Here is a 23,538-nt window from a genome sequence, read left to right as displayed (position 1 = left end):
CCTGTAGTTACTGTTTACTGAAATTTTGAAACCATGGCTTGCATAGTTAACAGGAATGACTGATTTGTTTTATCTAAATTTTATGTCCTTTGGAGGATATTCAAAGACTTTGGACTACTTCCAAAGACATACATTTCAGAAAATAATAAAATAATACTCAAGAGAAGATGAAAACTTCAGATAAGAGGGAAATAATTTGCTGGGAAAATGTTTTTTCTTACTTTTTTTTTTCAGAAAAAGTGAATTAATTGATGAGCCTGTTGCAGTGTTCAACTTAGAAAATTAATATAAATTATTTGATAATATGTATATAATATTAACAGTATATTAATAGAATTAAAATTGTAGCAGAAATTAATTAATGATAGAAAATAAATTAATAGAATAGAAAATTTAATTAACTTTTAATGAAAATTTAAAGAATACTGGCTGGGCATGGTGGCTCATGCCTCCCAAAGTAATATCACTCATATTACTTTGCCTCCCAAAGTAATATCAGCACTTTGGGAGGCCCAGGTGGGAGGATTATTTGAGGCCAATCAAATTGGTTCAAGATCAGTCTGGGCAATACAGTGAGAGCCATATCTCTACAAAAAATAAAAAAAAATTTAGTCAGGTATGGTGGCACATGCCTACATTCCCAACTACTCAGGGTGTTGAGTCAGGAAGGTCATGTAAGTCTAAGAGTCTGAGGTTGCAGTGAGCTATGATTGCACCACTGCACTCCAGCCTGGGCAACAGATCAAGACCCTGTCTCTGAAAAATGAATACAAAAATGTTAGTTTGAAGGAGCACCAAATTAGTCATCTACTCAAGGCAGGTTTCTCAAGGTCTCAGTTGGAAGTCTTCTTGAAGAGAAGTGTGAGGTCAGATGGAAAAATAGGTTGAGTTTAAATGATGGAAATCCTAAAATGACCATCTCAGGTTCTCAGCTTTTGTCTGATATTTAGGAAAAGACCTCTGAAGGTATCTGAGCACAATGAGGAAGGTGATGTTTAGGAGGGCAAGTGTTGTGGCTATATATAGGTAGACTGGAAAGGGGTACAGGGAGAACAGTTAAGGACCTGCTGAAGTAATTAGGCATGAGACAGTGACAGTCTAGCCTATGGGTGATTGAAGCCTATTAGAAACAATCTAACACACTTTGAAGAGAAATTAACAATGCTTTTCATTATAACTGACCAGCTAAATGAGAAATCCAACAAGGCTCAGGTGGTAAGCATGAGAGACTAGGGGAACAGTAATGTCATGACAAAATGAGGAATTTGAAGCTTAGAGGAGAGGCTCACCGGAGGGATAGACAGATGAGTTTAGGTGGCAGATTGAGACACAACAAGAAGACATGGATTAATTCAATATGTAGGTGGAAAGGCTATGTGAGAGAAGGCTTTCCCTCACCCACAATATGTGTTCATAAAGAGACAGTCTACACAAAATATGATGCCAACGATAGGCTTCTTCATGGCACACAATGAAGAAATACTCATTGAACATACATTGCTTTCTGTCCCCTTATGTCCTTCACATATGGATCTGTGGACCTAGAAAAAACTGAGGTATGTCTTAAACAACAAAGAATTTATTTGAGCCAAATTTGAATCACTGCAGCCCAGGAAATGCTTCCAAGTTACTTTGTGAAGTGCCCTGGAGAACAAAAGAGATGCTGGAGCTTTTAAAGAAAAAAGGATGAATCAGGAGAAGGGGAGATTACAAAAGTTGTTTTTCAACTGCTACAATTGGTGTGATTGTATCTAAAGGGACTGATTTTAACAGTTAAAAAGGCCGCCTGTGGTAAGGGACCTTCCAGAGCTCAGCAGGAAGCAGTCAGCAGATGCTTTGGCCATTGTTCAGCCAGGAAGTTGTGACCTCCATCCAAGGCCTACCTGAGGTTCAAGCTAAAATGGCCTCCTGGCTCCATTTTAGATTCTTTGATTAACCTGTTGTCATTTTCCTTCTTCAGATCCTAACACCAATTTCTGTCACATCTTGAGTATAAAAAGCAATAATAAATATGAAATTTCATAAGCCCAAGTAAAATATCTCTCCTCTTTACATTCACGTATTTCTTCTGAACTGGAATAAAATATCCCGCATATAACCAATTATTTTTCTTTGCCGAGCAACAGATTTATTATTCATTTATGTGAAAAAAGTTTAGCACAAAGATATGTCATGTAGAAAGATAAAGCATGACACTTTTTATATTTTCACTGATTTTTTAAAAAGAGACATTTCTCAACTTGTAGAACTATATAAACACAGACATGAAAGACACCAACATCACATTTTTAAACAATTGGCAAGCACATTGGGCCTTAATAAAAATAAAATTAAACTGGTAATTTTGGAAACTGCATACTGTGAGATGTGTACATGTTTCTTCTGGAAAAATCTACATGTTGGTTCCTAATGAAGATTATCTATTGGAGTAATTCAAAGGCAATGAATATTTCAACCTAGTTGTGTCAAGAGGAGAAACAATAATGACAGGCATTAGATCTGGAAAGAACTGAGCACTTAAGATAGACAGGCATTCTTACGTGATTCAAAAGTTAACTCTAGGTGCTCAAAAGTTAACCCTCTAGGTGCTCTGGGGGCAGTCTTATTCACTGGATTAACAATAGCTCAAATTACAAGTGATGAAATTTTCAGTTGCCTTAGGTTGCTATTACTATCACTATCTTAAAGTTTTTGAGTCCAGCTTTTCATTATATATAAATAAGATTAGTTTCTTTTCATCTGTGTGATAGCCCTTCAAAAGACAAGAACTTGAAAGGGTAGAAGAGCAAGGAAAACAGTAACAAAAGGACGAATATGTGGAGGAGAGAGATAAATGCATAAAATAATTAGCTCAACTAAAATTTATTATTATTCAAATGGCATCCTACCAGCTTACAAAGACAGAGGGGGGTCATGAGGGCTTTCCTCTAGGAACTTCAAATCTATGCAGGGAGACAATAAGTTCTATGCATGTATGTGATTCAATAACAAAAGAATACAATTTCCAAGGTGAAGCAATAGGCATGATAGTATATGTCAAATAGCTGAGAAAGTCTGATGTCATTAAAAGAGTCTCCAAAAAGGAAATGTATGTGATCCCATGCCAAGGGAGGTGTAGGATTTGTCACAGAAACCCCAGACAGGACGATAGCATAGGATAACCTGAGTGGAAATGATTAGGCTGTTAAGGAGTCAGGAGTAACTCAGAGAAGATCTAAATAGAAAGAGCAATAGGCAAGGCCCACAAGTTAATGGAGGGCCATAGGAGTCTGATTCTAGAGCTCCTAGGAAGCCACTGTAGGTTTTTAAATGGGAAAGTAGCTTCAGAAATAAGCAGACGTTGTGTATCTATTATGTTAAAACAATCTGCTAAGTTGAATGAAAATTTGATCAAACTCATGTTTGCATGTACATAGTTTGATCTGGCCTTTCACTTTGGAGGTATGATGATGGATATGCAATATAGTTCATATGTTTATATGGTGAAAAGTTAGATTTAAAAAATTTATCTAGTCATCTAATAATCTTACCTTTTAATAAACTGACATATGAAGCATTTATACTTGACTATGCTGAGGATTTTGCAAATATGGTTCCCTAAAATTATTTATAAATTATTAAAATTTATTTATCAACTAAATACACATAGCACTACGGACTGAATTGTGTTCCTCCAAAATTCATATGTTGAAACCCTAACCCCTAGTGTGTTTGACCTTGACTCTTTCAGTCTTCAGAACTATGAGAAATTGATGCCCAGCACAGTGGTTCACACCTGTAATCTCAGCACTTTGGAAGGCCTCAGTAGGAGGATTGCTTGAATCCAGGAGTTCAAGACTAGCCTGGCAACAAAGTGAGACCACCATTTAAAAAAAAAAAAACTATGAGAAATAAATTCCTGTTGTTTAAGTATGGCATTATGTTATGATAGCCAGAGCAGACTAACATACATTGCAGCATTATAAACAATCTCAGACACTTCACTGATATTCTCTCTCCATGGCATTCTTTAAATTTTTCTTGGTTTTACCTTAAAAGTGGGTGGCAGGCAACGGGAACATGAACTAATGGCTATTGAATGTTGAGTTAGCATCTGTTAGATGCTATACATATATTATCGAATTTAATCCTGGTAGGCATATGTGACACAGTGATCTATAGGGAATGTTTCAATACAACTTTATTGGAAACAAGTGATAGAAAATGTGCACATTTTATAATCCACAATTAGGCGTCTTCTAAATAGTATACACATATAACTACTTTATAACTGTCAACCACTGTGGACAAGGAAAATAAAACACTCCTTGATAATTTTTCTGAAGGATAATCAATAATTTATTTCTCTTTAATTGTCACAATTACCATAATTATCTAGCTACATGACCAATGTCACTACATATCACAGGAAGATTGTCCACCTACACTTTACTGAGACAAAGACAATGGCCATTTATGTGTTAAATGTACAATGGGATGTTAACACCATTTATGTGTTAAATGTACAATGGGATGTTAAAAGCAGTGGCTTTTATGTGTAAGACAAGATGTGGCACATGATTTATTACGAACAGGTTTGATTTAAAATGTATTATGCCAAGAAACAAGCATAGAAATATTTTGGCATTGAGTTATTATTAAAGTAGAAAATAAGTAAACTAGAGAAATAAATCCAGATTTTCACTTACATTAGATACATTGAAGTAGGAAATTAATTGGCTCCTCAGTATTTTTGTGCAAGTTTTTTTTGTTTTCTTTCCTTTTGTTTTTGATTTTTTATAAACGAGTAATATGAATATATCACAAGTAAAAGAAAGATCTCAGCCAAAAAGAAGGTACCAGTATATGAAAAACAAATGAAAAATTACCAGGTATTTTTTGCTTACAAAAAATTTAAACTATAAAGAGTCACAAAATATATATAAAAACGCCACATTGAACGAGGCAATCATACTCTACCGAAACTGGTAGCATCCTCCTAAAATCAGTCGCATGCATTCCATTCATTCGGTCATACAGTGGTCACCGACAAGAAGGCATTATGGACTCTCGTGCCATCTGGAGACTTGGCCCCATGGGTCATCAGTTCTTGGATTGTCATCCAGTTGTCCAAAATTTTCTTGTTTCTCTTTTTCATCATCTTTTTGTGACTCAGTTCAATGATATTGATCTCCTTCTTGCCCTCACTGCCGCTCTGAGGGCTCTCCTTGAGACACTCTAACCTGCTTCGCATCATGAACTCACGGCGACGGCGCTGCTCTTTGGCCCTAACCAGGTGCTGCTTTCTCTCCTCTTTGCTCCAGTAGCGCCCCATTTTCATCTCGCTCATGGTGTCATCGTCTGTGGTCATGCCACTCCGCTCTTCCTTGATCTTTAAGGCACGTTCCTTCAGGATTCGGTCTCGCACGGGTCTCTTTGTGATGTACCGTGTCCCGTCGCTCCTAATTTTCACCTTCCATTCCATCTTGGGCTCTGAACACTTCTGAGACTCCTTGCACATGCTCACCAAGCTGAGCTGACTCTGAGCATACTCGACTGCAGATTTCTGTTGAATTAACTGCATGTAGCTTTGATAATGCCGGGCGTGTGCTGGGATGTTTGCATATCTATATGAGGAGCTGTGGTAAGGAGAGAGGTAAGGGATGTGTTCGCTGACTGCCTTCTCTTGATCAGGAAGCTTGCTGCCTTCTAAAACCTTCTCCTTGCTTTCAGCGCTACAACCTTGCTCAGTGGTTTTGGCTTTGGTGGAGGTCGACTCTTTACTGCTCTGTCCGGAAGAGGACTGGGTGGCTGCCATTGTGCTTCTCAGGTTTTTCTTATTGGTGAGGTTGATCACCCTTGGAAGGGAACTGTCAGGGGAACGGTCTACAGTGAGCGGAGTACTTCTGCAGCTCTCAGCTGTGTTGTAAGCACTAGAACTGTCCTTGTCAGACTTTTCTGGATGCTCCATGATGTCATCTAGCTTTCCCCTTTGCATATCTATGCTGGTGTTATAATTCCGGAATCCTCCATCATGCAATGTCCAGATGTCTCCATACTGGTCTGTCACTTTCTGGAGCCTGTGAGCCTGCATGATATTCTGACACTCAAGCTCAATGTTTCTCAGTTCTTCATTAAGCAACTGTAGCTCATGCTCCACTCCCTCTTGCTCCCCTTGATTGCATTCAATTGTGCTGCTTGAGTAATACAGGTCATACTCTCCATGATTTCGAATCTTGCATTTGAGCTCCAAGAGCTGCCTGAATCTTTCACAGTCCTCATCTGGGTTGCCAATGCAGTCTGAGTCAATGTATTCACCAGATACGAGGCTCTCATTGTACTGAAGTTCAACACTTCCCAGAGTGTCTTGGCTCTGCCCCAGGTCTCTCTTGCTCTTCAAAGATGTGCTATTGGGGTCCTCGGCTGCATTCTCCTGCTCTGAGCTCTCATCATTTCGCAAGCTTTCATCTGTACGTCCTACTCCACTGTCCTTCTCATGGTTGTTGGATGAGGATGTTGCAGTGTCTGTTGTGCCTTCTTCTTCTTCTTGCTTTTTTGGCTAAGAAAATGATGTTGAAAGAACAAAGAAAATTAATGATTTTGGAAGACATTTGTTATTAAAAATCTTGTTTGAAAACCAATGTTTCCTGGCAAAGTTGCATCTCCTAGACAGTTGCTCTAATTTAGGGTCCATCACAATTTTAGAAATAAAGGAAATTAGCTCATGGCAGCTTTTTATACAATGAAATGAAGAAAACAAAACCCGCTTGAATATGGCTATGATATTCACATGGATATAAATAAGACAGAATGCATTCAAATAAGTGATTCTTTAGGTTTTCTCTTACTTGGGAAACTCGGGGTTGAAGGTGTATAAACAAAGTGACTGTATGAATTTCTGAGGTGATAATATGCAAAAGAATAAGACAGAATGTCTAAATAGTCTTCAGCAATATGGAGACCTGATGTTCAGAAGCCACAATCACCTTATGTTTTTCCCCTTAAGTACAGAGGAAACTTCACTGGCTTAGTAATATGCTGACAATGGGTAAGCCAAACATCACAGAGTTTTAGGACTAAGTTAACATTATGTACTGGAGCCTAGGACATTGCTATCTATAGGTGAGGATGCTCAATTCCAAAAGGATTCAGGTTATTAGTGGCAGATTCAGGTTATTAATGACAGATGGAGGCAAAGCTTCATCTTCCAGTGCCAGAATTTCTTATATGTCCAGGATGCCATATTCCTGAATACATGTGCTCTGACCTCAGTGCACTCTAAATCATGTTTCTCAAAAGCAACAACAATGTTTTAGGACTCATTGGGGTTGTATAAGATTTTTCTACTCTTAACCAGGGATTTTTTTTCAAAGATAAATTTTAGTCTATTGAGAATAAAAATTCAGTCCCATGAAAATTTGAACAGCACTGATTGCCAGACATGGGCATAATATCAAAAAAATTTTGACACTTATGTCACATATATGTATATAGGCATGCATGTATGTTTATGTAGTGTGTGTGTGTGTGTGTGTGTGTGTGTGTGAGAGAGAGAGAGAGAGAGAGAGAGAGAGAGAGAGAGAGAGACTCTGGTAATTTTTGGCTTTCATGTAAAACAATTAACTGTAACTGTCCTAATAAGATGCATGTGTAGTTCTTTCTCTGTGAATATGGTAAAGTTACTTTCACCTCTATCAGTCATCATATGATAATCTATAAGGCAGTTTCTAGGTTATATCTGCCTTATGCCTAAGTTTATTCACTATATATATATATAGATAGATAGATAGGTATAGATATAGCTCCATCCCTCTAGAAGATGTAATTACACAATTAAATATAATCAAGCCAACAGCTAGTGCTAAAGAAGGATAGAACGGGTGACAAAAGATATTCTAAAAGAAGTCTAAAAAGGTCTCTCTAGATAATTGTTATTTTGTTCCACAAAAGTAGTGGCAGGATAAAAAGTAACAATATCAAGAGGAGAGAACATAACCATGTATCAGCTTTTCTATGACTCTCAATCTTTCTTTCCCTGGAACATGTTCCTTCATTTGTTGAAAACATACTGAGATTTATCTTAAATGTCTTATTGATTAAAAAATTATAATAAGTAACTGTAACGAACAATGGGAAGCTTGCTGCATCCCTAGGCTGTGACTTATAAGGTGACAATAGTATTTAATATGGCAATGTCTTTATACTACACCATATAACTCTCAAAGAATGTTATTGATACTGGGCATTTGAATTTATATATCGTGTTATTTATAATTATATTTTTCTAATATCTTGTCATGAGCTGAAAAATACAAGAAGACTAGTAATTTTTTTCTTATTTTACATGCAGATGACATAATAATGACAAATTATGCTATGGGAGATGTTGCACAATGTAACGGCATTCATAAGACCAAACATACTGTGTAAAATGAAACTTTCCATAAAGTAGGTTCACATATGGGTAGGTATTTTATTTTTTCAATTGAATATCCCCTTTCCCTTGTTATTGGTCTATGAACAACTGTGAAAATAAAATAGTTTTCTATTCTCAAACCTAGAATTCCTAGTTTCTAATGCAATGCTACTCTATCATTTATCATTTCCCTATGGAATTATTATAGTGACAGGCAATGTTTCTACCTAGACATTTCTAATGTAGTATTATTGTTTATAAGGGCAAAGGACTTTTAAAGGTTTCTGTACTTCTCACCATTTTTTAGTCTCATGGTGAAGAAAAAAATTCCACACAATGAGAATCTAACCTCAGAGGCATCTAGTGTTACCTCACGAGACCTAACATTTGTATTACCTCTGATGAGTAGGCAGCGTTTGACACCGTTGTCACTTTACCTGGACAGGATTTCTCCCTGCTTTCCTTATTCCAACATCCTCCTATCAATTCAGTATCAGGTCACATTTTGTATCTAAGAAAAAAAAAGCCTGGAGCAAGGACTTTCTTGCTTGTAACCAGCAGCTGCCACCAAAAATATCTTTATTTTTGGCCAGTGTTGAAGTTATACATAAAAATTTTAATCTGCCCTACCTATATTGAAAGACAGTCACCACAGTAGCGATATTACTTGTGAGCATGAAATTCTGTTTGTGGAGTGGCCAAACTCCACATAATGAGCACATGAGTATATCACATATGACTATGTTGATGCTATAGTGTGCAATCTAATTATTTATTTAATATGTGGACATGTGCACACACATACACATTTCTGTTATGGGATGTTAGCAAGCTGAATATTTCATTATTCAACATGGTAAAGTGATAGAATGTTTGTGCTGCAAGTTTCTAAGCCTGTCAAGATTTTCAAAAAAATTATCATCTTTTAAGATGTGTTAAGAATTAATGTTGAGGCCAGGTGCAGTGGCTCATGCCTGCAATCCCAACACTTTAGGAGGCTGAGGCTGGTGGAGCACTTGAGGTCAGGAGTTCGAGGCCAGCCTGGTCAACATGGTGAAACCCCATCTCTACTAAAAATACAAAAATTAGCTGGGTGTGGTGGTGGGATCCTGTAATCCCAGCACTTTAAGAAGCTGAGGCTGGTGGACCACTTGAGGTCAGGAGTTCGAGAACAGCCTGATCAACATGGTGAAACCTCATCTGTACTAAAAATACAAAAATTAGCTGAGCATGATGGCGTGCACTTATAGTCCCAGCTACTCAGGAGGCTGAGGCAGGAGAATCGCTTGAGCCCAGGAGGCAGAGGTTGCAGTGAGCTGAGATTGTGTCACTGCACTCCAGCCTGGGCGACAGAGTGAGACTCTATCTTAAAATAATAATAATAATAATGATAATAATAAGAATAGACAGGGCACGGTGGCTCATGCCTGTAATCCCAGAACTTTGGGAGGCCGAGGCAGGTGGATCACGAGGTCAGAGTTTAAGACCAGTCTGACCAACATGGTGAAACCCTGTCTCTATTAAAAATACAAAAATTAGCTGGGCATGGTGGTGGGCATCTGTAATCCCAGCTACTCAGGAGGCTGAGGCAGGAGAATCAATTGAACCCGGGAGGCGGAGGTTCCAGTGAGCTGAGATTGTGCCACTGCACTCCAGCCTGAGCGACAGAGCAAGATTCCGTATATATATATATAATAAAATACATATAATAATGTTGAGAATAGGAAGATAATTAAACAAATCAGTAAACTGAAAACAAAATTATATCAGGCAGATAAATGACATGAGTGTAACATAAAAAATCTAGAATACATTGAACTTGTTTTTGTAAAATGGGAAAAAGACAATAAAAATAATATACTAATCACACTGTGATCTTTTACTAGTTATGAATCCATTAAGGACAGCAGTTCTGCTCATTTTTCTTTTTATTCTCAGTTTCAAGTGGGGTACTTGGAACATATTAGGAGTTCAAAGTGTTTAGTTGAATGAATATGTGACTTCAAGGCAAAATGATGTTAATAATCTCAAACTATGCTATGAGAAATGTTGCACAAGTTATACTATGGGAAATGTGTCAACAGCAGCCATAAGACCAAGGATAATCTCTACGATTATTCAGAATATACAGGTGTAATCACGCCATCCAGTACGCAAATAAAACTGATGGCTTACATCATGTCATCTTCATCCTATAGTGATAGCCTAAGTATTCAAATAGATACATTAATATTTTAGAGTAAAAAAAATTACTTATTGGGGAAGCTACCTCAGTTTGTTTTCAGCTGGCATATTGATAAGCAACACACATTTTTTACTCTTAAATTTCTGCAATTAGTTTGAAGTAGTGCCTGGGTCAACATTTGAATACTACTGTACTGTATTAACAATTGTCCCCAAGCTTCCCAAACTGGATATATTCTTAATGGAAAAACATTTTATTTATTCCCTCTGCTTCATTTGAGATGATCATTTGCTCTAAAAAATTACCATGATAGAGATGATGGATTAAACCCTTTGATTTTGTTTTCATCTTCATTTATGGTTACACATTAAAAAAAGAACAAGCAACATATCAAATGATGTAGTTCAAATTGTTGGCCCTACCTGCTCCACCTCATTGGCAGTGGGCTGCATTGCTTCATTATGCTCTTCTTCCAACATCTCCAAGTTTAACTCCTCTAAGAATTCATTCCTTTCATCTTCCAGCCAGCCTTCATCCAGCTGCAAAAGAATACATTAGTACATTATATTATGTTAGTGAGAACTCATGTTAAAATAGAGTAAACTTAAATGGCCGGTGCCCGACGAGTTCCTTTTATCATAATGATTCTCTTCAGAATACCAGCCTCCCACAGTTCACCTCTCAGAAAGAAGAAAAGGTGATAAAAAAAAAAAAAAAGGACTCTTATGCCTTTTATCCTTTCCTGAAATGGGACTACAGATTTTCTCTCATAACCAAGTAAATCTCACAGCACAGAATATTACCTTCTTTCAAAATGTATGAAAAGCATCCTGCATAATCCACAGCTGTCATGCTCATTACCTCCAACAGTCCCGTGTTAAAAGGACTGCCATGCTACTAATTGGGCTATGAGACAATTGGGCTGTTTTCTTTAACAACAACCCCCAACGAGACTGCACACAAAGTTCCCCCCATACGCTCGTGCTATCCTCATCCTGCTTTTTTCTTTTTAGGTGGGCTCCCATGTCAACAAGATGGCTGCTTGCCACAAAAGAATGTACAGAAGACATTTATTTTGTCTGTGAAGAAAGGAAAATTCTAAGTTATTCTTCTCAAGGAAAGGAAAGAAAAGCAATATTACTCCATGTCTATTTTAATTTGTTTTCAGGCCCAATTTTATAGGAAAAACACCTCAGTGGATGCGACATTTAAGGGTGGTGGAGTGGTGTGGGGCATGCAGGGTTTTGTTTATGGGTGTTGAAAACAAGTATTCTTGTAGGACTCTTAATGCAAATTGAACTGAACAAATCCCTTCGGCTTTTCAATACAAAGTGAAGTGGAAAACTGGTGGTTACCTGGCTAATATGATCTAATATGATCAGTGTTGACAGTTACTACAGATAATTTGCCTCAAAGTGGATTTTTGGAGCTGGATTACATAAATTAGCTGTCTATGCTGATTAAATTAACTGGATTATCGTCAAAACTCTGCATCACCCTGTACAAAGAAATAGCATTCTAGTGAGCAAACATGGATAATAGTTTGAGATATTTTCACCACCAATGAACTGGCAAAATAAGCTTTTAAACATAACTGAACTTCTACAACTTAAAAACAAACTGGAAAGGACATTCAGCTGCACCAAAAGAGGCATTAGCATACAGGTATCATCTTTATTAATATGCAGGCAAATCATAGATTTCATGATATCTATTAAAGGCCATGTAGAACTTAAATGACCTCAAACTTAACTGGGGCCCAAAGTGCTGGCACATTTGTTCATCCTCATTTATCTTAATGTCGCCTGAATAATTTGATCAAATTCCTGTGACTTTGATATGCAGATGAGCTATGAAAATTATGCCAAGTAAAAATGTAAATTCAGCCCAATTTATAATTGTTCAAATTTTACATTCTTTAATCTTTTTCAAGTATCATAAAGCTACAAATGCCAGACATCATAAAAAATTACTTAAAATGGGGAGTGCTTACTATTCACAAACACATCAAGGAATTTTTCTTTAATCAGGTCAAAATAAAGTATTTTCTAACACTGATATATTGAATGATGAAACAGAGTCCTTTGAGGATTAAATGAAGTAGTGGGGAAAATAAAGAGAAAATGGTCAAAATTAATGATTCCCCATAACTCTTTTCTTATTGAGTAATCCAGTAGATTCCTGAGTTGCCAGCCATAGTCATTATATGTCTATTTTGATAAGGCTTTCTTTTAGGCTGGAGGTGCACACAGCACAATTAGCAAAGGGAGATTCTTCTTGCTCACTTCCTTCTTCTCTCCTATTTCCCCCTTTCTACCTAGATGTACATTCACTATGGTCTGAGTCTAATGTAACGGCAGAGACAGACATCTCCCTTGAGCTGAGCTGCAGGAAAAGAGGGATTGTTACTACTAAGAGTGGGGATCTATCTGCACCAAAGGGGGCCACATGTGGCATCTCAGAAAAAGGAACAACCTACACTGTCTCAAAGGTAGTGGCTACAAGTTCTTATGAGAATCCTCTCTGCCCCAGTGTCCTGAGGGAAATAGGACAGAAAAGCAATATCTTTAATGGTCTCAGGAAGAAAATGGGCAGAAAATGAAAGAGAGTTGACAGGAAATGAGGAAAATGAGTTATTTAAAAATATTGCACAGATGTACAATACTGCCCCCAGCAACTCTGTAGATCATTTCCAAGAATCTAGAGAGTATTTGAAACGTTAAAAATGTTTAAAAAAAGCTAGAAAAAGCACACAAAAGCTTCCACATTCTCCCCGAATAAAATACACACGCAAAAAAAAAACATACAACAATGAGATAAATTGAGTTCAATGGAAAAATATGGGTGATATAAAGACAAGATTTTTTTTTTTTAGTTTTTTTTTTGCCACTTTATAGCATGTACTGATTAAATTACATTTTAAAAGTATGGTATTAAAATGTATTTCTTTTCCTGATTTCTCTGGAAATCTGTTTTTTTTTTCTATAGGCAATTAGCTTCCTTCCAGTGTCATGAAGGTTTCTTTAGGATCAAGGGGCTAATGCAGATCATAATTTTGACAGGCAGGACAGCATCCTATGGAGTCAGACAACCATCTTTCATCAAATGTGGAAAGGGAAGTCTCATTTGAAAATTCATCCTTCAGCATTGACTCTTTTGGAGAAAAAGGTCAGAAGTGTAGCCAGATACTCAAATTTTCCACTGGTTCTACCCAGCATATGTATTCCATCAAAGATTAACAGGATCTGGTCTATGTTATTAATTTCTATTATTTCTACAGCCCATTATGGCCACTATGTGGCATAGTTTAAGGAAATGCTTTAGTTCTAAATTAATGAGGTTCTCTAGCAGTTACATGGAAAGGGCAGGGAAACCACATTATAACATAAAAATATCTTCTCTACAATAGAGATGGCAACTTCAATTTATCATAAATTTCACTAATATGCATTTAGCCCCTTTATTATGTTCTTTTTTGAAGAAAATGGGAGCAGCGAGATAACTGGGTTGAGAAATTTCCAGATAATTGGTATAATTTCATATGTATTTAAAAATTCACTCCCACATAGGCAGTGTGGGGGTTTTGTGGGCTTTTTTCCCCACTCCTAAGACCTCAGGTGTGTAACTTTACTCTGCCCCAGGCTATGGCAGACTTTATGAGAACCATTTAGAATGGGCAAGGGCATAAACGAAATATATGCAGAAAGGGTGATCTTTTATAACCACTATATTCAAGTCAGGATTCAGTCTGACACTGAAATACACTTACTCAATGTAATTTATAGATAGTATGTAGTTACTGAGTCTGAAAAATATCATATCAATAACCGAGGAGACAAATGGCGATATAACTAACTTTATTCAAACTACTGACAGATAGATAGACTGGTGACAATGTTTTGTCCCTTCTGCCTTGTGATGGGAGATAAAAAGGATATAAAAGGAAGCCCCAATAGTACTTTTTTTCCATTACCTTTACTCTACTTTCATGACATCTTCTTCCATAAAGATCTAAAAAATTCATTTAGAAGTTATCAGTTTTTGGCTGGACAATTGTTTTGGTCACACTAAACTTGGAAACAATTCATTTACTATACATGGAACCAGATCATGCTATACAAGACATTCTAATTGATAAAGTTATTTTAAAAAGATTTAAGTTGATGACTAGATAGGCTAGTGTTTCTCTCGTGGAGCTTCTTCCAAGATATCTTCATATGCCATTTAAGTATTTTCAGATGGAAACTTAAAGCAAGGATCCACACAGAATTAAAAGGATCCACACAGCCATTTTTCATTTGAGTATTTATTTAAGTAAGTGGCAAATTGAAGGAGAGAATCACAATTCAATTTGGTATGCTTTTCCCCCCTTAAAAGGGATATTTAGCTGCCATTCTATGGAGCAATATAAGGAAGTCTTTAATGTGTAATACTTTTGATAAATTAGGAAAGATCAGTCTTTATTGTATTTTGTATACCTTAATTGCTTTCATATCTATTTTTAAAATTCACTCCCACATAGGCCATCTGGTGGGTTATATGGGGAGAGATAACCGTGATAATGATTTGATAGAGAATAGCAGATAATGAATATAATTCATTCACGAATTTACATTCAGTGAATTCAATGAATATAAAGTTCAGTCTCAAGGCTTTTGATCTCTGTTCTGACCTGAATCTCTGGCCTTGCAACAAGCAGCACGATTCTCTTACACTCATCGTTAGACAGCAAGGCCACTGCTTCTTCTCGATTCTGGACATCTTCCCCATTTATCTAGAAAACAAATGAGAGTGGCACATTAGTTTCCATTTCCACAATGCTGCACACAATAAATGGCAAATATCAGCTCATTTATGGTAAATGTATGGACAATGAAGCTCACACAATGGGCTCATCTTCAGCCCCTCAGCTCAAAGTGCCTTCACTCAATTACGCGCTTACTGTAAGAGCCATATCGATCCGTGAAGGATGGCGGACATCAGAGGAAGCAGTTATGTTCATAAATGTCCAACCTGCGCCCTGGCAACATACATCTAGCAACACAATTAACCAGCTCCTGACAGGTGACGTTCATCTTTCTTCGCTCAGAGTAATGGAAGTGTCACTCTGAGATAATAGTGCTGGGGGAAGAAGGACTGGCAATACCACAACTGAAATCCGTCATCCTGCACGCTTGCCGCGAGCCAATTAGAGAGCTGCAGTATTATCTCTCACCAGGCAATGCTCCCAGGCCACTGCTGATTGCATTTTTATTTAATCATTTCATATTTGCGTGTGGGTCTGACCCAGTTGCCCAAACATCATCGTCAGGATAAATCTCAGTGTTTAACTGATCAAAGTAAAATAACATTCTCATCAATACTCCATTTCCCTTCTAATATCTATCCATTTCCTAAAGTAATACAACTAATGAAATATCTTCAGACTCATCTCTTAAATTTAAAAATTTAAAAAATATTAACATAGAGTAAAATTGAATTTTTAAAATAATGATGAGTGAAAGAAACCAAGCTTGACTAAACTTTAGATTTCATGGAAAAGATTCCAGTGACATTAGAAATATATCTTTTTACTTTTTCTAAGTTCTAAAGAAAAAGTAAATAAGATTTGTAAAGTTTCTTTTTTTAAACTACATTTTCATGTGCAAATATATTTAGCTCTTAATTAATAAAACTTTTTCCTTTGGATATTTAATAATTATTTTCTTTTATTGATTACTCAACTCCATAGAGACAGCAAGATTTTTGATTTATAATTATATGTAATCAAATAATGGGAAAGAAATTCCAATTAAAGAGATCAAGTAATTCTGTCTAAAATAGTATTAATTACTTGAATAAATGAAGCAGATGGAAAATGTAGCAGCACTGACCATTCTTTTTTCAATAATCTAATGTCTTTCACTAAGGACTTCTGCTTAAAAGCATGAAGTAGACTATTGAGGTTTTTCTCCTCATAGGTCTCTGGGTTTCTGGCTGATGCATGAGGACAGACATAATTATCTGAAAACAAGCCCATGAATTTCAACCTTGAACCACAATAAATAATCCTTATTCCTATACTCTTATATGTATTTAGTGCAAGGAAAGCAGGCAATAATAGTAAAAATATATATATATGGGCACAAATTGTATTTTCTTACTCCAATCACTGTCATTTCTCACTTGTATACACAGAAAGGAAATTCAGTGGTTATAAGTTTCACATGCATTCCCTATTTGTTTTTGCAATTCACAAATAAAATTCATCCAATTAGGAAACAGAAGCTACGATTCCACAATGGGAAATAATGACCGGGAAGGATATGTTGCGGTTTGTCATAAATACCTCTGGAAAAGTATGTGTGTACTGACTCCAAGGCCTTTTTTCTCAAATAAAGATAAATTGGCAGTGGTGGATTCCACTATACTTCCCCTACCCTCTATTAAGTGTAGTTTTAAAATAATGACTTTGTAGTATTTACTCTATTTGCACTTTGAGGGCTTATGTCTGTTTCATGGTAATTCTTAGTAATATATTTGCAATGCATTTATTTGTCTGTCAAACATGGACCTGTTTATTCATCTCCTCTCCACTACAGGCACATCTGATCCTAAGAGAATTGAATTGGGTGATCTTACACAGCTTATCTTCATCTTTTCTGTTTGAAATATACTTCTCACTTCTTTTATTCCTGGTCTCCACTTGACTGTACATATATATATATATATAGTCTTTATATATATAACTTAATATATATAATATATATAAAAAATATATATTTCCTCATTCTTCATCTAAATTGCACTTACCATTAATCTAAATACTTATTCATGTTAGTCTAATGCTGCTATTAAGTTTGCTATCTTAAAATGCATATAATAATAGTGCCTTTCTCAGAGGGTCTTTATAAGGATTACATGAGTCGATACAGGTAAAAATCTTAAATAGTGCCTGGTACATAGAATGTCTTCAATGCTGGCACATATTACTGTTGATGCTATTGTTATTGTTGTTATTACTATCATCATTTACATTTTAATCCTTAGTAAAGACAAGACTCTTTCGTGCTAAATAAAGCAAATAAAGTGAAATTTATAGAAGGTTATTAAATGCATAGTAGTAAACATGGTTTTATTTTAAAAGATATCTACCTCATATGTATTTCTAACTCTTAGAGGACCATCAGGAAACAATGGGGTTTTTTGCCTTTTAGTTTCTTTACAGTTGGTATTCATTTCTCTCCCCTGAGAACTCATTATGACCAGAGCTATGGTCTCTGGTCCTGGCAACAATTAGTTCTTACTTTGGGGCAACAGATCATTTCTTGCAGAAACACTTCTACCTTCAGGATCGTACCTGGGATGAAATCACTGACACAGAAATCTGTCATTAAAATGTAATTTATTGTTTCTTTTAGAAAATAAGTGCCACACTTTAGCCAACCGGTTGGTAGATGCTATTGTACTCAGGACATTAGTTTTACACCCAAACTGATACTGGGGCAAGAAATGTAGCCATGGGTTTCAGCAAAGATACCTCTCAAGGAATGAAAAGAATTGAGGAACAGAATCAGATAGAGCTTTCAACCTTCGGTTGCTCTTGGTCCTGAAATAATGGTTTACAGTTACAGGATTGTTTGTGGGAATGCAGCCTGCTGTGCCAGGAAAATACCAGGCAGACATGGAAGTGGAGGACCCAGCAATAAGGGAGGGAGACAGATGAGTAGTCACGTCACATAGCTTAATGGAGGACTTCCACTTTAGGAAAATAGAGGGAAAGAGAACCAAGAGAAAGACAGCAGGTAAGTTTTGTTAACATAACTGTCTCATTTTCTTTACATGGCCATATGTAAATGTTAGTTTCAAAATGGATATTGCCTTGGCTAAGAAGAGATCTGTGGTACTTATATGGATAGATCTGTCAAAATCTCACTTTAGGCCCAATCTCCTGTATGTGTGTATGAGTGTGTTTTGTATGTGTGTGTGTAAAGCCCTAAAAGCTTAGAAATGAGATGTAATATAGCTTTTCTCTTCCATATACCAATATCTAGGTTTTTTCTATTATTGTACCAGAGGTAGGTGGGCAACTCAAATTCTTGACATCCAACCATCAAGAATCTTAGGCAATAAGAAAAGATTTATTTCAAATGTGTTTATATTTTAGTATGGAGACAAAGGAGGTGATCAAAGTCTAGAGACATAGATGCGGAAAAAACAGAAATAGGGAGGAAATATCCAAAGGGAAGAAAATAAAAGAATATGAGAACCAGGGTATTAGTTTGTTCTCATGCTGCTATAAAGAAATACCTGAGACTGGGTAATTTACAAAGAAAAGAGGATTAATTGGTTCACAGTTCTGCATGACTGGGGAGGCCTTAGGAAACTTACAATCATGGAAGAAGGCACCTCTTCACAGGGTGGCAGGAGAGAGAATGAGTGCTGAGCAAAGGGAAAAAAGCCCATTATAAAACCATCAGATCTTGAAAGAACTCACTCACTATCACGAGAACAGCATGGGAGTAACCGCCCCCATGATTCAATTACCTAACACTGGGTCCCTCCCACCACACATAGGGATTATGGGAACTATAATTCAAGATGAGATTTGGGTGGGGACATAGTTAAACCATATCAACGAGTTTATGTGTAGAACAGAGAAATGAAGAGAGAGCTCATTAGAAGTCGTGTTGTTTCACTGAGTTCTTGTAAAGTTTCATCAGGAAGTCATCCTTAGGAACGTTATTGAGTTTTGGCCAACATGAGATTAGGAGGCTTACATGGAATATTACAGGTTTACCATCCCAAGGAGAAAAGGAGAATATAGCATTCTCTCCTTGGAAACTCCTTGGAAAGCTGGTCATATATGTGGTCTTTTACTCTTGTTATCTGATTCAGAAATGCCATATTCAGCACTGCAATTTTGTGAGAGAATGTCCCCAAATTAATTCCTGGAGACATTTGATATAAGTCCCTGGCAATGACACAGCAGACAGAACTGTGAAGGAATGAAAAGGAAGAACTTTCCTTGCAGACTAAAAACACAGGAGAACCACAACTATTCTCAGGAAGTTGGTTCCTGGTTTCTCTTCTGCACAATCCCTACTCTATAACAATCCCCTTTGTGTGACAGCACGTGTGTGTGTGTGTGTGTGTGTATGTATGTGTGTGTGAGTGAGATGTCATTGGGTGAGTTCACCTACAGGCCCATGGTGTGCTACATTAAGAAAAGTTTGGCTACACAGTGAGGGCAGGGCCATTGACATACTTTACTTAGGTCAAATGAACAGAAAATTAAAATCACAATTGCTCTAAAGGGACTCATTTAAATAAAAGTCATCCAAGAAACTTTAAGGATAAGAAGTAAATCCTCTGTTTTTCTCACTCTCATCTCTCTGGGAAAGGAGTCATTAACTGCTCATTACAGGGTATCCCATAATCTCCTCATCAACCATAAGGGAGCTATTTGTCTCTGGGTACAATTTTGTCAGAGTTTTACTTAATATAATTTCATAATCACCCTTAAGACTCTTTGTTTCCTATGTGTGCAAACAGAATTGTATTCCAGGTTTTTTTACTGGGACATGTATTAAGTGTGACATATTTGTCACAGAATATAAAGTAATCAGGCGGAAAACAGCACTTTAACATCCTGCTATTGTTTCCTTAGTGAATCTAGACCATTAAGAAATGCTTTATTATCTAGCAGGTATTTTCTCTAAAAACTTACCTGCCCACAATATCCCTAAGGATTTTGGAAGTGTCATAACATACAGTATGCATGTATGGAAACACATGCACTTTATTTCCATCCAACTATACCCACAGAACAAATGAATGAAATTTTAATAACTGTATTTGTGTATCTAGCCTAGGGAAGAGGGGTTAGCTGGGAACTAGGAAGGGTGCCAGGTACAGTAGGAGGTATGGGATATGAAGTAGATGGCAAGAGGAAGAAGTACCAGCTGGCAACAGCAAGGGAGGAGTAAGAAAAATGACACAATATAGACCTAATGCATCTGCAAGTGTATCCAAATAAGGTCATTTCATGTTGGGGCACAGATCTTCCAGACTTTCCAATCACTGAGCATTTTACTCTATTATAGTATTGTGGAATGAATGCTGGATGTAACGTGACTCTGAGCATCAAAAGATTACATTATTTTCAGTATATTTTACTGGAGATGTTAACAAAGTGAACAATACGTTTAAAATTATTTCAAAATTTAAAAAATAGTAAAACACTTTTGAAGCTTTTGTTATCTGGATGACACACGAAAATGGTCCCTTTAATTTCTTAACGAAGCTGTACAAGCAAAGCCTTTCAACAGATGTTACTCATCTACCCTATCATTCTCTCCACTGAATACCCTGGTTTCATTCATTGATTTATTCATGTGCATGTGTTAAAGATGACAGAAATGCAGTGGTCAACAAGACTATGTCTTGGCTTCCTGGTCCACTTTTCATTCCCCTGTGTATGATAGACGTAGTTCCATTTTGTTTACTATAGATCACTATTTCGGGAGCTCACTGAAGGAGAAATTATGTTCTTGAGGTTTTCTGAAAACTAGTGGGACCCCAAACGATCATTAATTCACACTTTGTATTCTTTCCTGTTTGGAGCCTTAACAGAAGGTCCACGGTTAAAAAAAAAAAAGGAGCTCTGCACTATCTAGCTAGAGGAAGAACAGGCGGTGAGGAGATGGTGTGATTCCATGAGTGTTGTCCTGAACAAGGGAGAGAACTGCAGAAAGTTGGGCAGGACATGTGCCCAGGCCACGCAGGCAGAGTGTTACCATGACAGTGTCATGCTGTACTGTAATCATCTGTGTATGTTCCTGTCTTCCTAAACAGAGATGGTGTGCTCCAAATGCTGGGACAACATCTTGTCTATTTTTGAAACCCTGGTTTTCGGATTCCAAAAGTGTGGAATCCAAAAAAACACTCTCCAAGGGTCTGTATCCAACAAGGAGAAATAGTAGCTCTGAAACAGTGGCAGTGACGTTTTAACAGCTTATCGCTCCCTGGATTTATCATTCAAGTCCTCCTCTCTGTTTCACAGTTGTGATTGGCAGTGAAATTCCATCCCAAAGCACCTCTGGTCTTATCTTGGAGTTGATCTGTTCACAAGAGCTGGGGAGTTTGTGTGTCTCCCTGCAGCCATTCTTTTTTTTTTTTTTTTTTTTTTTTTGAGAGTGTCTCACTCTGTCATCCAGGCTGGAGTACAGTGGTGGCATCTCGGCTCACTGCAACCTCTGTCTCCCGGGTTCAAGCGATTCTCCTGCCTCAGCCTCCCAAGTAGGTGGGATTACAGGTGGCTGCCACCATGCCTGGCTAGTTTTTGTATTGTTTAGTAGAGACAGGGTTTCACCATGTTGGCCAGGCTGATCTCAAACTCTTGACCTCAGGTGATCTGCCTGCCTCGGCCTTCCAAAGTGCTGGGATTACAGGCGTGAGCCACCGGGCCTGGCCCCTGCAGCCATTCTTTATGGGAGAGGACTCAGAAAGGAGAGAGCAAGCAGGTGAAGGCAGGTTTAGGATAGAAACTGGCTTTCAGCTATTCCTGATTTGGCCTAAAACTCTTTCCAGCCTCACATCCCTCCTACAGTCTGCTTACTATCTCTTGCATAAAGCTGAAATGTAATCAGTCTCTATGTTTCCACATTTCCATGTGGGGAATAAAACATATTCTCCTTCATCTCCCAGCAACTCATTGGTAAATACAGTAGTGCACTACACAACAGCTTTTCAGTCAACAATGGACTGTAGATACATCAATGGGCCCATAAGATTATAATACCATGCTTTTACTATACCTTTTCTACGTTTAGATACATAAAGACTTACCATTGTGTCACAATTACCTATAGTATTTAGTGCAGTAACATGCTGTACAGATTTGTAACCTAGGAAGAGTAGGCTACGCCAGCTAGCCTAAGTGTGTGTGTAGTAGGCTGTACCATCTAGGTCTGTGTAAGTACACTCTCCAATGTTTGCACAACCCGGAAATCATCTAATGACATTTCTCAAAACATATTAAGTGACTCATGACTGTAGTTGGCACCTTCAAACTTCTAGACTTTCATATAGCAAAGGAACATCTAGATCCATGTTCACTTAATTTATTCTGGAAAAGGCAGCAATAACTGCTGCTGCTAGTAATAATAGCCATTAATATTTATTAACTACTTATGCACTGTGTTAAGCGTATGGCAAGCATAATCTCATTTCACATTCACAACAACAATAGGTTATTATTACCATTTTTTTAAGATGAGGAAATAAAGCTTAGGATGAGAGGAGGTTATGCAGTGTGCCAAGCAAATGGTGAAGCTGGAAGAGAAGTCAAATTTGACTCCAGAGATGGTATTTGAACCACTAATTATTAGCTAATCACTCTTAATATATCGCACCATCCTAAATTAGTTTTAAATGACAGCACTTTTTTTTTTTGGTTTTGTAGATGTTAGTATCCAAAAGCAAAGACAAATTCTTTTCTCAACAGTTTACAAGAAACAAAGTAAAATAGTAACTTTGGACAGATCGTGGGGAACTAAAGGAAATTACTATACCACCTACTTGCAAAATCCGATCCCCTTCTCGAATCCGGCCGTCTTTGGCAGCAATGCTATTTGGGTCAACCTGTAATGAAGAGGACATACATCTTCAACTGGGTATGAAACATTCCCTCAAGAACTTAAAAATATGGCTTTAAAATATATTTTGAAAAAGCTGTTTCAAAATTCTCTGTTGATTTGTGACAGTATACATAATATTTCTCTCCAACAAAACTCATTGATTCTAAAAATGTAAATGAGCTATTTTAGAATGAACATGAATAAAATTGTGAGGACTAGAGCAGAACTTAATCTGAAGACCAGTTTTCCACCCTTTCTCTATTTCTTCTTTCCTTTTTCCCTTCATTCTTTTTTTTTTTCACATTTGTTCACTCATTTCTGTATCCCAACTGTCACAT

The 23,538-nt window shown here is 37.1% G+C and overlaps 1 protein-coding gene and 1 long non-coding RNA gene across 3 annotated transcripts in view, besides 1 other annotated feature; one reads left to right on the top strand and one right to left on the bottom strand.

Annotated features, from left to right (window-relative positions):
* Positions 1,410 to 2,100: an enhancer, noted in NCBI's record as "OCT4-NANOG hESC enhancer chr12:41970604-41971294 (GRCh37/hg19 assembly coordinates)". NCBI's record gives its function as "activates a minimal SCP1, AML or CMV promoter by ChIP-STARR-seq in naive and primed H9 embryonic stem cells {active_cell/tissue: H9 hESC(naive and primed)}" and the evidence as "EXISTENCE:reporter gene assay evidence [ECO:0000049][PMID:30033119]".
* Positions 4,157 to 23,538, bottom strand: part of PDZRN4 (PDZ domain containing ring finger 4) — a 386,426-nt gene continuing 367,044 nt past the window's right edge. For both annotated transcript variants that reach the window (NM_001164595.2, NM_013377.4), the window contains 4 exons: positions 23,142 to 23,204; positions 15,253 to 15,354; positions 11,003 to 11,119; positions 4,157 to 6,538 (listed from right to left, as the gene is read on the bottom strand). In NM_001164595.2, coding sequence (NP_001158067.1) covers positions 5,012 to 6,538; positions 11,003 to 11,119; positions 15,253 to 15,354; positions 23,142 to 23,204 — 1,809 coding nt within the window. In that variant the 3' untranslated portion in view covers positions 4,157 to 5,011. The remainder of the gene's footprint in view (positions 6,539 to 11,002; positions 11,120 to 15,252; positions 15,355 to 23,141; positions 23,205 to 23,538) is intronic.
* On the top strand, positions 12,596 to 23,232 carry LOC107984498 (uncharacterized). The gene is made up of 3 exons (XR_001749090.2): positions 12,596 to 13,071; positions 18,188 to 18,364; positions 23,068 to 23,232. It is a non-coding gene; the product is annotated as an uncharacterized LOC107984498 (long non-coding RNA).

The sequence above is a fragment of the Homo sapiens genome, chromosome 12 (genome assembly GCF_000001405.40).
Source record: "Homo sapiens chromosome 12, GRCh38.p14 Primary Assembly".
Classification (NCBI taxonomy): Eukaryota; Metazoa; Chordata; class Mammalia; order Primates; family Hominidae; genus Homo; species Homo sapiens.
The sequence above is the reverse complement of the archived record's forward strand: the minus strand, read 5'-3'. Positions and strand labels throughout refer to the sequence as shown.